The sequence below is a fragment of the Homo sapiens genome, chromosome 3 (genome assembly GCF_000001405.40).
Source record: "Homo sapiens chromosome 3, GRCh38.p14 Primary Assembly".
Taxonomy (NCBI): domain Eukaryota; kingdom Metazoa; phylum Chordata; class Mammalia; order Primates; family Hominidae; genus Homo; species Homo sapiens.
The window spans coordinates 190,862,695-190,879,027 of record NC_000003.12 but is presented as its reverse complement, the minus strand read 5'-3'; the positions used below and the strand labels follow the sequence as shown (position 1 = coordinate 190,879,027).

Sequence of the window (16,333 nt, the reverse complement as noted above, 5' to 3'; positions counted from 1 at the left end):
TAAATGCAAGAGAGAGAGAGGTTGGAGGAGAGAGAGGATGGATATCAATATTAATGTTAGAAGGTGGATTTCGGGGTTGAAAGCACTAAACAGAATATAAAATAGGCCGACATGTACTGATAAAAGTCACATTTTGTGAAGCAGATTTGCAGTCATAGAGCTTTGCAAGACACATTACAGCAGCTCAATATAAAAAGTAAGAACTACATATCACACTGGCAACTTGAAGAAAATATAATTTGAATAAGAACATTTAATATATTTCTTTTGAAATTTGAGTAAATCTAAGCATGTCATGAAAATTAACTGACTTAATCCTCACAATAATAACTCTGTGAACGGAACACAATTATAATCTGTATGTACAATTGAGAAAAACTACAAATGATAAATAAGTCAACAGGTTTTTTTTTTGACATATCCAATAAGAATTACAAATCCTTCATATGCTTGATTAAGGACAAAAGAAAGGGAGTAAAATATAAAAGAATAGAGATAAGATTTAACTACAGAGAGTATTTACAGAATAATATATGTTATGATATGCAATTCTATGGCAGCCCATTTGAAAACCAAAATAAATGAATGAATTTTTGGCAAAATATGTAATTACCACAATTGAATGAAAAATAAATGGAAAATCTGAAATGATCACTTAGAAAAGTATTGAAGGAACAGATATATTCACAGGTAATTTCTATTAAATATATTAAAAGTATGTACTTCAGGTGCATTAAAGTAAGGGATGAATATTCATGATCAGAAAATGTATGGATGGTGATATTGGATAAGCATTTGATAAAATTCAGTAGCCATGCTCTCTCTCAGATACAGTTCCCCTTCCTCCCTCCAGGGGGCGCCATGGAACGCAGAGCCCTCCCTGGCCCTGGGGACTGGGTGACGTCAGGGGTGAGCCTCTCGTGATTGGCTGCATCACCCTGCGTAAGATCAAAGGGATGAAAGGACAGCCGCGACACCCGGAGCCATTGTGGCTCCGGCCGGTTGCGCCTGCCCTCGGGCCTTCAGGGAGGCGAGGGTTCGAGAGTGCGAGTTCGAGGCCAACACCTGGTCCACATTGGTTGAAAAAAAATTTTTTTTATCGTTCCCTATATAACAACAAAACATAAAGGGAGGACGCCTTGATAGGAAGAAATGACATCTTCCTAAGTGTTTTTAAATTACTTCAATGTATCTTTTTTTTTTTTTTTTTTTTTTTGGAGGGGGGAGACTGAGCCTTGCTCTGTTGCCCAGGCTGGAGTGCAGTGGTGTGATCTTGGCTCACTGCAACCTCAGCCTCCTGGGTTCAAGCGAGTCTCCTGTCTCAGCCTCCCGAGTAGCTGGGATTACAGGCCCAGGCCGCGTGCCTGGCTAATTTTGGTATTTTTAGTGGAGACGGAGTTTCACCATGTTGGCGAGGCTGGTCTCGAACTGCTGGCCTCAAGAGATCTCGCCCCTTGGCCTCCCAAAGTGCTAGGATTACAGGGGTGTGCCCTCGTGCTCGGCCGTCTCTCCCGTCTTTCTTAGACTCCTTGATCTCTGTCCTGGCCCCCGGGATCTTTGTCTTCGTCCCCTCTCTAGTTCGCTCCCATCAGATTCACTGTCTTCTCTCTCTGGTCCTCTCCCCTTTGCCTCGGACTGTATCCTCTTCGTCGCTGTTGATCCCACTTCTGCACTGTCCTCGCTGCTGTCTTCCCCCAGTCCTGTCGCCATCCCCATCCCCTGCCTCAGTCCCCTGTGCCGTCGGCCGCTCCACCTGTGACCGTGGAGTCTTTTTCTGTCACTTCCGTCTCTGTCACATCCCCTCTGGTCGCTCCTGGTCGGAGGCCCTGCCTCCCTCGCCTCAGGGCCCTTCCCCGTCTCCTTCTCTTCCTGTCATCCCTGGCTCCTTCCCAGCGTCTTTCCTTCCTTCTCCGAATCGTCCTCTGCTCCTCTGGGTTTGCGCCTGCTGGGAGCTCTGCCCCTGGGAGCTGTTTCCTCCGCTCAGTCTCTGGGTGTTTCCTAGGGGGTCACATGCTCTTCTAGGCCTGTCCTGGGGCAGAGGGGCCACCCTGAGGTCCATCAGTCAGTCTGACCATCGCCTTAGAACCTCGAGCCTCTCGCCTCGCCTCGCCTCGCCTGACGCCCTTTCCCACCCTTTATCTTTCCCTTCAGGATAAAAAATAAAAAGAGTCGGAACAGCTCCCTGAGGCCAGAGATTTGTGTCTGTTCTGTCCACTGCTATATGCCCAGCACCTAGAACAGTGCCTGGCCCAGTGAAGAGTGAATAAATGAACTGGACCCAGGGAAGAAACAGACTTGCCCCCAGGCCACTCAGAGAGTGAGCTGTGCCCATACCCGCTCCTGGGGCCCTGAGTGATCACGAGGTGGGGTGGGTACTCACCAGTCACAACGTCCACAGGCAGCTGGGCCAGCAGGGACCCAATGGGTGTGAGGGCCTCTGAGCTGTCCAGGGCCCCCTGGTCCCGGAGGTAGAGGATGGCGGTTTCCAGGCTGGCTGGTGGTGGGGGCTCGATGAAGGGGAAGGTTCGGGGGTCCCCCACACTCATGCTCTTCATCTAGAATGAGAAGCAAAACCCCCCAAGATTGGGGAACACAAGAGCCACCGTGCAGCACACGGGGCTCAGAGATCACAAATTCATGACGTTTTAAAATTCCTAGTGTTGGCCGGGCGTGGTGGCTCACGCCTGTGGTCCCAGCACTTTGAAAGGCCAAGGCAAGCGGATCACTTGAGGTCAGGAGTCCAAGACCATCCTGGCCAACATGGTGAAACCCTGTCTCTACTAAAAATACAAAAATTAGTGGTGGTGCATGCCTGTAATTCCAGCTACTCGGGAGGCTGAGGCAGGAGAATCGCTTGAACCCAGGAGGTGGAGATCGCAGTAAGCCGAGATCATGCCTCTGCACTGCGCTCCAGCCTGGCAATACACCGAGACTCCATCTCAAATTCCCAGTGTCAGCCAAGCACAGTGGCTCATGCCTGTAATCCTAGCACTTTGGGAGGCCGCAGCAGGTGGATCACTTGAGGTCAGGAGTTTGAGACCAGCCTGGCCAACATGGTGAAACCCCATCTCTACTAAAAATACAAAAATTAGCCGGGTGTGGTGGCGAGTGCCTGTAATCTCAACTACTTGGGAGGCTGAGGCAGGAGAATTGCTTGAACCTGGAAGGCGGAGGTTGCAGTGAGCCGAGATTGCACCACTGCACTCCAGCCTCGGCCACAGAGTGAGATTCTATCTCAAAAATAAAATAAAATAAAATAAAATTCCCAATGTCAAGATCCACTGTGCAGAGGCAGGCAAGGAGGGCTGCTGTCTCTGTATCTGTCTGCCTAGCACATCTTGCCCCAGACTCTGACCATGGAGGAGAGGCACGTGACCTGAGCTGGACCAATCAGAATCCTTCCATGAGACTGGAGCCAGGAAGAGCATTCCCAGCATCCTCTCTGGTTGTGGCCAGGATGGAAGCCTATCTTATTAACCCAGAACTGCTGTGACCTTTGACTTTGTCCCTTTTTTGGAAATGGGCCCATCTACAGCAGATGGAGAAATTCTTGGATTGTTCCTAAGTTAGACATGCCACCTCACGAATGCACAAAATGGTAAGATCCCCTTTCTGCCTACAATAGTTTCAGTTGTATTTCTCTCACTTACAACCAAAAGAATCCCAATTAATGCAGCAGCCCAGGCAGGCAGCAGATGGAGAATTAAGTGACAGCATATGTCCACCTCGGGGCCTGGCGTGGCATACGTAAGCAAACAGCACCTCTCTGGTGACTGGAAGAAGGAGAGGCTGGCAAGGCAGCTCATGTGACAGCCAGAGAGCGAGAAGGAAGCTCAGAGAAGTCTGTTCGCCTGGCTTTGATCCGAGGGCACTAGAAGTTCTGGCGTCCACCTGCAAGCAGCTGCTGCTCCTTCCTCCCTGCTGACCAAGGCTTGATGCCATCTACGAGTTCACCCAATACTCATTTAACAACCTTTATAGGCCGGGCGCGGTGGCTCATGCCTGTAATCCCAACACTTTGGGAGGCCAAGGCAGGCAGATCACCTGAGGTCAGAAGTTCAAGACCAGCCTGGCCAACATGGTGAAACTCCCTCTCTACTAAAATTACAAAAATTAGCTGGGCCTGGTGGCACCCATCTGTGGTCCCAGCTACTCGGGAGGCCAAGGCAGGAGAACCACTTGGGCCTGGGAGGTGGAGGTTGCAGTGAGCCGAGATAACACCACTGCACTCCAGCCTGGGTGACAGAGTGAGACTCTGTCCCATAAATAAATAAATAAATAAATAAATAAATAAATAAATAACCTTTACAAAAAAAAAATTTCAGTAGCCATTGCTAATAACACCGAATAAAATAAGAATGATAAGAAACTGCCAATATGAAAAGGAAAACCTGCGAGAGCCTTCACACGATTTCAGGCCCAGCCTTCTAGCCTGACACTGAGCAGAGCAGAATTGAGCTGTCCTCAACCACCCCTGCCCTGCCCAAACTGCAGATTTGGAAGCAAAATAAATATTGTCATTTATTTAAGCCAGGGTTTCTTGGCATTGTATTACTGACCTCTTGGACAGGACAATCCTTTTTTATAGATGGCTATCCTATGCATTTGTAGGATGTTCAAGAGCATTCCTGGCCTCCTGCCAGTAGTAACCCCACATATGTATTGACAATCAAAAATAACCTTGGTAGGCAGAAATCACTCCCAATTGGGAATTACTGTTTTAAGCCAGTAAGTTCTGGCATTATCTGTTATGTAGTTACAGTGATAGCTTGTCTTTTCCTGCCCTGGACATCATCCCCACCAACATCCCCACTTAGGGAATTTAACCAGCACATGTAATTCTATCTACACAACATTTATACTTAACACATGCATACATAGCATATAGGACTATTTTTAACATCACTTCACAAAGGTATGAAAAGATAATATGTAGATTTGCCTATATAATCTTTCTTTTCTCACTCAATACCTTGTAGAAATCAAATAAATGAACGATTTTAAAAGATTTTCTCTTATTGGTTATAAAATAATACATTGGCTGAAATCTTATATTGGCTATATAATATTACATAATATATCCTTCTCTTAATGGATGTTCAAATTATATCCATTATTTTTGTTTCTGTAACATTAAATAATAAAATATTTCTATTCATATCTTTATGTAGTGGTGATTTATTCCTTAGAAATATTTTTCCAGGAGAATATTTGCTGAGTTAAAAGTTTTATAATTTTAATAGATGTTATTTGCCAGATTGCTTATTTTTAGATTGTCCTCAATACCTCACATTTCAGCTAGTAGCACACAACTTTTTAAATTTGTTCAGAATATTTTATATTCCTCATAAGATTATACATACACATATATATTACATGCCATGTATAATATATAATTCATATAATATATAATGTATGTCAGATTATATAAGTATGTGTGTATGTACATATATGTGAGTCTGTGTGTGTGTGTGTATATCTTTCATATAGGTCCAATTCCATTCTGCTAAGTTCTAAGTATTTTCAGGTGTGTGTGTGTGTGTTTGCATGTGTGCCATTATGGATGAGTTTTTAAAATTGTCAACTGGATCAACTATCTAAATGAAGTCTCTCCATGTGGCCTGGTTTTTACCTTAACAGTGTGGCTGGGTTCCAAGGTTGAGCTTTGAGAGGGAGGGAGAGAGAGGCAGTGGAGGAAGAAGGCAGGGGTGGGACTGGGGGAAAGAGAAGCCATATTGCCTGTAAGAACCAGCCTCTGAGATTACACAGTTCTGCCTGTTCTTTTAGGTTGAAGCAGTTATAAAGTCTCCTGTAGTTTCAAGAGAAAGAGAAATAGATTCTGCCTCTTGATGGAAGTGGCAAGGTTGTGAAAGAACATATGGGAATGGAAATACTGCTGTAGCCATTTTTGAAAAATATAATCTGCTATAGATGCAACAATGTGAGCTACAAATTTTAAAAATGATTTCTATAAAATTATCTATAACTATACCTAGACATTTAAAAATTCATGGTAAGGTTAACAATTTTACACATTGGCAACTATTAATTTTCTTCATGAGCATTCATGTCCATTGCAGATTTTTAAATTGTAATTTTTAGAGTTTCCTAAGTCATTTATTTATTATTTTATTATGTATTATTCTCCACCTAAAATATGGTATGTTTTATAATATGAATATCACATCCTGAATAATGGTGCTTAAACAGGTGAAACAATAGGGCTATTACAACTGTAATTTAATTTCAGAATACTAGATAAATGTTTTCCATGATATTTAGAATAGCCAAAGAAAGACATTAGAATGACTTTTTTAATTGTTCTAAATTATTATAAAATAAAAACACAATATCCCAAGATCTCATATTTAAAATGACAATACCTAATAAATACTGAAGAATTATTAAAATTGCTAACTATCCACAAAAGAACAACATTGATTAATGGCAAGATTAGATGGGAGTTCGAAGATCCAGTTTCTGGTTTAGCTCTTCACTTAAAAATTGGTCCTTAGCAACTCCATTAACCGCCCAGGTGGGTCTCAGGAGATGAGAGAATATCAGATGGGATCATCTCGAAAGTCCCCTTCTGTTCTAAAAATTATGAATTCAAAGTTCTAAATCCTTGGGAATAAAAGAGCATCAATTTTAAAAGACTTTTTTCTTTTGTTTTTAAATGAGAGCTGGTTTTGCAGAAGCATTTGGGAACCTGTATTGTCCAAAGTACTTGATTGGAGAAAATGCCTCTATTTTGTAGACTCTCATATTTATTTGAAAGACCATTATTTCACCAAATATTTGATGCTTTGAAAACAAATCTGCCTTCGCGTACCTAGTTAAAACCCTTCAATAACTTTCCATTGCTCATAGGATAGAGCATGGCACCTGCGTGACCTAGTCTTAACCTATCGCTCCAGCCCTATTATTCACCACGGCTTTCATTTCTGATATACGTATCAGGACCATTGAGTATGTGTTTTGTCCTCTCTGTTGTATGTTTCTCTCTCCCTCTCCCTCTCCACCGGTTTAATTCCTACTCTTTCTTCAAGTTTTGGTAAGATGTCATTTGGTCAGAAAAATATACCTTGACACCTCAGTCTACTCCCAGCTTCCTTCCTCCAGGTCAAATGGGTAGGAGCACAGGTCAACACATCCACAGCACCCTACAATTCCTTGTTCATTGCACTTATCACTATTTTAGTTTACATATATAAGTGTGTAATATTTTCCCTTAAGTATAAACACCATCAAGACAGCCATGTCTCTTCTGTTCAGTGCTTTATCCACAGTAATTATATAATGTAGAATAAAATTGAAGAAGAGCTCAGTTACTCTTTGAATGAATTCCTGCTTGTATTCACTAAAGTCTGCCATCTGGCCTTTGATGGAACACTTTCAGGAATGGAAAACCTACTACTTAAGAAAAATTGTTTATTTTTTGACAATTCCATTAACTACAACTATTGACCATCAATCTGTGGCCCTATAATTTTTGCCTTGAGTTTTTGTTTCAGACTCTGATTTTATGTAGAATAAGTACTTTTTGAGCTCCATCATCTATGTAGCATTTTCTCTGTTTAGTAGATACATTTTCATCTAGGGCATAGTCACACTTCAAATGCAGAAGGAATAGTGCAAGCTGATGCCTACAGGGAAGTGGTAGTTAAAGGAGGGCAAAAGATGAGACAACAAAACATTGTTCCACAAAGAACAAAAGTATAATATTTTATTTGTGGTTTACTAGTCTCAGCAAAACAAAGATTTAACCAAAGCTGTCTTCACATTCTTTTCTTCTTCTGATTGTTCACCTTTTGATGCATTTTCTTTCATATTCTTTGTTTTTACTTATTATATATATTTTTGACTTCTATTTTAGGTTCAGGGGTACATGTGTAGGTTTGTTATGCAGGTAAACTTGTGTCATGGAGGTTTGTTGTACATATTATTTCATCACCCAGGTATTAAGCCTAGTACCCCTTAGTTGTTTTTCCTGATCCTTTCCCTCCTCCCACTCTCCACCCTCCTATAGGCCCCTTTAAACTGTATTTTTCAGTTTTCTTCAAATCTGTCTGCTCACACTCCGAAGTTCCCAAAGGCATAATCAAAACATCAGTGTGGGAGGAAGATTCAACTTGGTGGTTTTTAACTTCCCCTTGAACCCTGATAAGTTCTGACCTAGTGTAACATGACCCATGAAGGTCCTGCACTCAAAATTCTTTTTTGCTTTCCTAAAACTTAAACCCTTAAGATTTGGAATAGACTCAATATATCCTCTCACTCAATGTGCTTCCCTGCTTTTCATGACCAGTTCTGAGAACCTAGGGACTCAGAATGGAGGAAAGAAAGAATGCTATAGTAGTGGAGATTAGCAATGATTCTACTCTACTATCAGCCTTCTCACTCACGGCTGCTTCTTCCTGTCTTCCTGATCACCCTTCATGGCCATGGAAGTTCTATTAAATCTCAGCAAAGCTATCCCTATATAAAAAAGAGCCAGAAGTTCTCCTGTCTGTTTAAAGATATGCATGGAAATTAATTACAAAGACAGACTTCTAATCTCAAAATCGTATTAAATTGTGAGTTCTGAGAATTAGAAATAATTTTAAGGAGCATATCTTTTTGGCACTATTGGTGTATGAGTATAATATAAACCATATGAGACTAGCAGTAATCCACCCTCTTAGTGAATTCCTCTAGTGACAAAGAGCTCACCAGTTACAGGGTATCAGGTTCTATGTTTACATAGTACTGAGAGTTACAAACGTTTATTTTTTAAACTGAAATCCGGCAATTTGGTAATTGTAACTATTGGAACTAGTTCTATTTAACCTCTTCAATAATTTTGTCACAACATTTCTCTTACAAAACAATAAACACTATTAACATGCTTGTATATTTTCCCTTTGCTTTTTAATATGTATGAATATATTTGCATACATTTTAATATAAGTAACATAATGTCATTTTTCTACGTCTTTAATTTTTTTTTCAAAAACATGTTCTGTAAATATGCAATCTGTACTATGGATATATATTGTAATTTATTTAAACAGTTTCTTACTGAACATTTTAAAACGTTCACAAATGTTCAGTATAATGGTGCAATAAACAAAGTTGTACATTATTTTTGCTCAAATGTATTATTTTTATAATTTTATAAATTATTTTGGGCTTACTGGCTTAAAGGATATGGATATTTTAAAGTTTTGAAATATATTTGCAGATGGATGAATGTTATAGGTACGTTTTTTCTCTTGATTATTTTGTTTTATGACAAAATATATGATTCTTCATACATAAAGAAAGATATATACATACACACACACACAAAAACCCACGCTTATAGCACTTATTTCTCTCCTGAGCTAAGAAAAAAGCAATAGACACAAAAGACAGATACTTGGGAATAAGAGTTATCTTTATCGTTAAATAAAAGCTTGACTGTAAAACACAACATATCTATAAATGCATATTAGGTAGCCTACTAAAACTATATACACACACATATGCGTATTAGATAGCCTACTAAAGATATACACACACACACACACAGTTACTATAACATATATTTTATACATCTGCTATATATACTATACTATATATGTGTGTGTATATATATATACACTTATGTATAGTATGTATATATATACACACACATAGTTTTAGTAGGCTACCTAATATGCACTTCTGAATAGAAATAGATTTACTCACTTTATCATGGTGACACTGGGTGGCCACACACAACTGCAGTTGGGTCAGAGCCTACTCTGTCAGCTTTCCTCAGGAGAAGCAGAGAGAGCATGTGCCGTGTAGACAATTACATTAAAATGGTAAAAAAGTTCTTCCTTTTCTTCTTTCAATCTCACCAATCAAATAAATCTGTTCTCCTAGGAATTGTTGCCCCTTTGTAGAAAAATTAGGTGCAGAGAGTAGTCTTCGTTTCCCAGCATCTGTACATTTCCATCTGTATATATTTCAAGGCAGTGGACTTCACTGATTACTCCATATACATGCATATGTATACATGCAAATATATAAGCACATATATTTATACATATTGAGATATGTATAAATTGTTACTAAAGAATACACAAAAATAACTGCTAATAAAAATGTTTTAAAATATGCAATTCTATAATATGCAATTTGAGTTTTTCCCAATTGTGTTCTAGGACAATAAACGATTTTTTAAAGACCTTAGTCAATTTGCTTGCCTGTCTTTGGGGGTCCTCTTATCTACAAATGAAGCTGTTGAAATGCATTTGTTAGTTTAACATTACTGGCTGTGATTTGGTCATGCAGTGCTAATACCGCTATCCCAAAGGTGGCAGCAGAAAAGCTTCTGGTTGGATAAAGAAAACAAAAAGATTATTTGCACTGTTTTCAACATGGCCCTCTTTATCTAACATCATAGACGTTTCTGGAGTTTTACTTTATTGTTGACAGAGTACTTTATTATGATACTTTTATTCATCTTAATGACATTTAGCATTACGAATTTCATAGCAATTATGTATTTTTCTAATATTGTTTTAGAATATACGAATACTTCCACTGGCTACAGGTTGGCATTATGCTTTCATTTTGTGAAGACTAAATGTAGAAAACAGAGAAATTATCAAGTTTCACCAATCTAATACAATTTTTAAGTAAATTTCTTTTATTTGTTTTAGTTGGTAAATTAGATAATTTTGCCACAAATTATTAGGTTAATAAAAATTCAGTTACTACTTCACAGATTTTATAGATTAAAAAACATGAAATTATAGCTTCGGTATAGCTTAACATTTTATATTTAAATGTATTTCTTTGTCTTCTTTTCATGAGAGAAGTCACATTATTTCAGTTTGTCTGATAATTTCAGGGCTAGACGAATTAGGTCCCAGTTGTCCTATTTTTCTATTACACTCTTAATTAAGTTTTTTTAAAGAAACTAGGCAGTAACCCTTTCATTTCTATTATCTTCAGAATAAAATTGGATGCCATGTCCAGTGCCAATGTACCTTTCAGAACTTTAATGCTTTGTCAGTAATCTATCCATTCATCTGTCCATCAAAAATCCCTAAGACGCATTTCATGAGCAATGAAAGCACAAAAACCAACTTTGTGGAAATACTGGTGCTCCGGAAGCAGAAATTCATTTTATTTCAAATTATAATTGGACTAGCATGCCTCTGATGTATATTAATTATGACAACTATTATTATCATTATTTAGAGGAAGGGTCTTGCTCTGTTGCCCAGGCTGGAGTGCAATGGCACAATCATAACTCACTGTAGCTTCAAACTCCTGGGCTCAAGTGATCCTCCCACCTCAGCCTCCTAAGTAGCCAGAACTACAGGTGTGCCTCACCATACTTGGCTAATATTTAAATTTTTTTTTGTAGAGATAAGATTTCACTATGCTGTCCAGGCTGGTCTTGAACTCCTGGTCTCAAGTGGTCTGCCCACCTTGGCCTCCCAAAGTGCTGGGACTACAGGCATGAGCCACCAGGCTTGGCCTTATTGTAATTATTTTCTAATGCAGTTGGGATAAAGTGAGGGAAGTAGAACTGTATTTGTTTTATTTTATTTCCGTTTCCATCTCTAACCTTGTGGCAATACAAACTAAATTTTACTGTTTTGTATGTATTTTCATAGTAGTATTGAGATTATTTTCTTCCAATCTGGCCAGATAGGTTATACAGAGAAGAGCTTCCCAACTAATGCAGTAAGGCACAATAGATTACAGGCCTTTGATATACTGAGTCTTCCTGTCCTTGGGGCTGGCCTGGTAGGATTTAGGGGATTCACATTGCTGTCAACAGGCAGGAAAATCCTCAACTATTTACTCCAGCTTGCCTGCAAATATTATTTTGAAGTGTTATCTTACGAGAAAAGCCATAAAGCAATGCTACCAACTACAGTAAAGGTTTGCTTCATTTTGCACAATGAATATAGATCTGTATCCATTTTCCAGAAAAATATAAAGTAGATAGGTGATATTTAAAATATATGCGCTTAGACTGAGAATCTTGAAAGTTGTGAATATCACTCTAGTATGTAATTTTCCTTAATAAAATGCAATAAAATATAACTGAAAAATTAAGCAATCACTTAATGAGTCAATAAATAAAGGACTAGATAGTTTTAAAGTTATTAAAATGCATTCTCACTGAAACATCCAATAAAACAGTATTATAAATCTCCACATACACACATCACATTTCCATATAGAGCTCATCTGAATTACGCCCAAATGGAACATTTCACTTTTTAGGTTACCTAAGTTCTTTCTGTTTCCTGGCCAATAGCCTGATATAGTTTTCTTGACTTTTTCTAATGCCAGAATTAACAGTTGACTTGCTCTTCAATGCCTTTTGTTCATGTAGAAACAGTTTTTTACCACTGCATAAATAAGTACATACATGAAGGCTACCAGAAAGCTATGTTACTGGCAGGTAGTAGTAGGTAGTAGACAAGTCTCTATCAATATCAACATGATTGATTTCTGCACATCACTTTGGTGGGGGTACATTTAGTAACTACGGGTCAACAAACTGAATCTGTCATGGTTCTCCAGATATTCTAAACAATGCAAATGCTAAATCTTACAATGAAAACCATCTACTGCACTGAATTTTCTCTAAGGATACATTTTTCTTCACCTACAAGTGAAAGCAGAAATGCTGTGGGTTTTTTGTTTGTTTGTTTTTGTGTTTTTGTTTTTGTGTTTTGCCTGGAGGGTCAGCTATTGAAGCTATGAGAAAAAGCTATGTTTGTAAAGAGAAATTAAAAATTGTTCTTTATTATATATGTTACAGAATCCACGAATGGGGTAATCAAATAAAGCGTTCTCCGGGGATGAAATGCATGAACAGTCCATGTGCCAATCTATTTGTCTCCTAGGTCTACCTCTGATCACACTCTACCTTTCCTGTCTGCAGATTTGGTTTGTGTGCAGGTCAAATTACCTCCTATCTTTTTTAATATATTTTTGCCCTGGCGGGGGCGGTACGATGGCTCAACAACTAGGTTGTTATTAGTCACCTACCGCTTAACACTATCCCTTTAGACACAATACAAAAGGCAGTATTCAACTGATCTTCTTGTTCACAGAAGAAAATCATCTATATGGGTTACATCTACACACTAAGAAAGATGCACTTCATGCATACATATGAAAACAAAACTGCCAAAAGATTTTACATTATTGTTTACTTGATGCACTTTTCAAAAAAAATTGTCAAACCAATAATAATAATAATAATTAGGCTTATACTTAAGATGTACATAAATCAAATTTGAAGAATTTAAAATATTTTCCATCTGTTACGATTTTAAGAAAGCTTTATCTTCTGATTTATGTTCAGTTGTTAATACTTCTTCACTGTTTAACTTCAGGGTTTCTGAATCACTATCTATACTCCCACTCCTAGTAAGCTGAAGTAGTTAATGATTTGTAAAACACTTGTGTGTTTAAAGGTCATCAAAGACTCTTGAAAAATATGTCTAGCCCTCAAAAAAAAAAAACACGTTATTTTACAAATGTACCTCTCATTTATAGTTGCTTTTACCAAAAAAAAAAAAGCACAGCAGCATGCATATGATCAAAGGCAGAATTCCCTATATCTAATAGTAAGAAGAGCTAACATCATGAATACATAGACAGTAAAATAGTAATTTTGTAAGCATTAGTGGTCAGCTTTTTAATAAACCTTTTGGGTATGTATTGCTTTCCTAATTTGCCAGATGAGTTAACTGAGGATTTAGAGTCTTTGATAATATAATTCCAGGTGATTCAATTTCAGAGAGTAGAGAAGAAATTGGAATCCAGGTATATTTGGATTGAAAGCCTATGGTCTGTTTTCATACTGTGTTTGCTCAATTGCCTATTTTGTATCATTTTCAGGCCCAAGAAATTATATCTCTCAGAGGCTCATGTCTCATTTGTGACAGCTTACAAAAAAGTAAAACAACTGGATCCTTTTTTTTCTGCTCCTGGTGCTCATCACAAAACTAACTGGGGTTTTGCCAGACAGACTCTATGTTGGGAGGACTACAAACATGAGTTCTTTGCCCTGAGCAAAATCACTGATTCTTACAACTTAAATGGGTTTTGATCGGTTTCCTTTTCTGATGTCAGGGTGATACTGCCAGTGCATCCTTGCTCAATATGCAGTGAGGACGGAGAGGGGACCACTCATGTCACTCTCTGAAATGAGTCCATGTAGAATAAGCCAGTTCACCTATTTTCCAGGCAGTGACACCCAAACCTGGTACTGTTCACTTAAAAATGCTTACAAATAGGAGAATCGCTTGAACCTGGGAGGCAGAGGTTGCAGTGAGCCAAGATCGCGCCACTGCACTCCAGCCTGGTGAGAGAGGACAGAGCAAGACTTCGTCTAAAAAAAAAAGAAAGCTTGCAAATAAACAGCATTGGAACAGGAGGAAAGGGCCCCAACAAGTCTGGCACCTTCTTCGTCTTCATCATCTATTCTTTTCTTAAATTTGGACACAGAGCACTTAATACGTATCTGCTGTGTGCTAGTCACCTTGTTAAGTGCTGTGGGTCATAAGTATAGTTCAAGGAAAAATAAATAACAGTCAAAAGTATTTTAGAGAAAGAGCTGTGCAGAACAGGCTCAGAAGTTTTCTCAATTCCTACTCCCTGTCTGGTGTTAGTTTGCTAGGGTTACCATAACAAAATACCATAGACAGGATAGATTGAACAACAGAATTTTTTTTTTCCCCCAAAAATTCTGGAGGCTGAAATTTCAAGAGCATGGTGTTGGCAGGGTTGTTGGCTTCCCCTGAGGCATCTGCTCTTGGCTTGGAGACAGGTGCCTTCTCACTGTGCCCCTACATGGCCTTTACTGTGTGTGTGCCACCCCTGGTGTCCCTTATAAGGGCACCAGTTTTATTGGATTAGGGTCTCACATATGACTTTATTTAGACTTAATTACCTCTTTAAAGGCCTTATCTCCAAATACAGTAACTTTGGGGTTAGGGGTTCAACATATGAATTTGGGGAAACACAACCCACCCATAAGAGTAACCATTACATAAATGTCTATAATGTGCAGTGGACATAAGCCAAGGTGGGTCAGATACCACATACATGGAGCTAGGAGCATGGATGCTTCAGCCAGCTTGGGTTTAAATCCCAAGTCTGCTACTTCTTAACTGTATAATCATTGGTGAAATTTCTTAATGTTAGTGCTTCATCAGTCAACCTGTTATACCAGACAATAAGAGTACCTACCTCCCAGGGTTAATGTAAATTGCTTTATATCTATTACGTTAGTAAGTTGAAATAAAAGTTGGCTATTAGTGGTGGCTAAATGGTTTTAAAGATGGTGTTACTCCTCTTTCTCCTCTAGATATAATAGGAACTGTGAGAATAAAAGGTAAGAGAAAAGACAGGAAATCAAATGCTTTAATTGAAAGATATTAACATACACCAAGTTTTCTTAATTATAATCATTTATTTTATTATAATGTGAAGAAAGGTACAATATAAAAAGATACTTGGATTCCGAAATTTGTAACTTAATTAATTGTTTTTACAAATCTTTGTTGAGCACTTATTACATGTGAGAAAGCGTTTCTGGTATTTTGGAGACAGCAGGGAACAAAATAAACAGGAATTGCTATTCCAGTGAAGCTTACATTCCAGGATGGATATATATCACCTCCATATTTAACACTCATTTCAGAAATAGGGGAAAGTAAGACACACCCAATAGAAAAAAAAAAAAGTCAATTGACAACGTCATACAGCAAGTTAATATTGTTATCGCGTAGCCAGAAAAAAATACACAGGAAGCATACTAACTCTGGGGCCAGTTAGATGGGCTTCCCTAAAGAGTCCCTTGACCCCTGTGATGCCGGTTTGGGCTTTTCTTACCCCACGTCCAGGCACCTGGACCATCTTCTCGCCCGGCCCGGCTCGGCCCTGCCCCGCGCTGCGCGTGGAGCGGGAGGGAGCCCGGCCCTCGCCTCGGTCCCGGCTGCGGGGTCGCCGCCCGTCTCCCCGCCCGTCTCCCCGCCCGTCTCCCCGCCCGCGGCGAGTCCACACTGGGGCCGGGTGTGAAGCAGCGCCGCGCACCCGGAGCGAGAGGGCCGGAGGTCCTGCCTCTGCCCCACGGCCGGTGGCCAGATCGGCAGGTCCCTGGTCCCGGCGCGGTGGCCGCCCAGAGCGCGAGTGACTTTGTCTTCTGCTGGGTGACTCCTGGCTCACGTCACCGGTTTGACAGCCTCTCACCAAATCACAGAGCGGCGCTCGCCGGGAGCTCTGGGCGTCACCGGGAGCTCCCGCAGATTAGAACTCGCCTCTCCTAGCTCCTCCCCTC

General features: G+C 39.6%; 1 non-coding gene across 1 annotated transcript; it reads right to left on the bottom strand.

Moving 5' to 3' along the window:
- Positions 1-977: 977 nt before the first annotated feature.
- SNAR-I (small NF90 (ILF3) associated RNA I) lies at positions 978-1,098 on the bottom strand. Its single transcript, NR_024343.1, has one exon. It is a non-coding gene; the product is annotated as a small NF90 (ILF3) associated RNA I (small nuclear RNA).
- Positions 1,099-16,333: the final 15,235 nt, after the last annotated feature.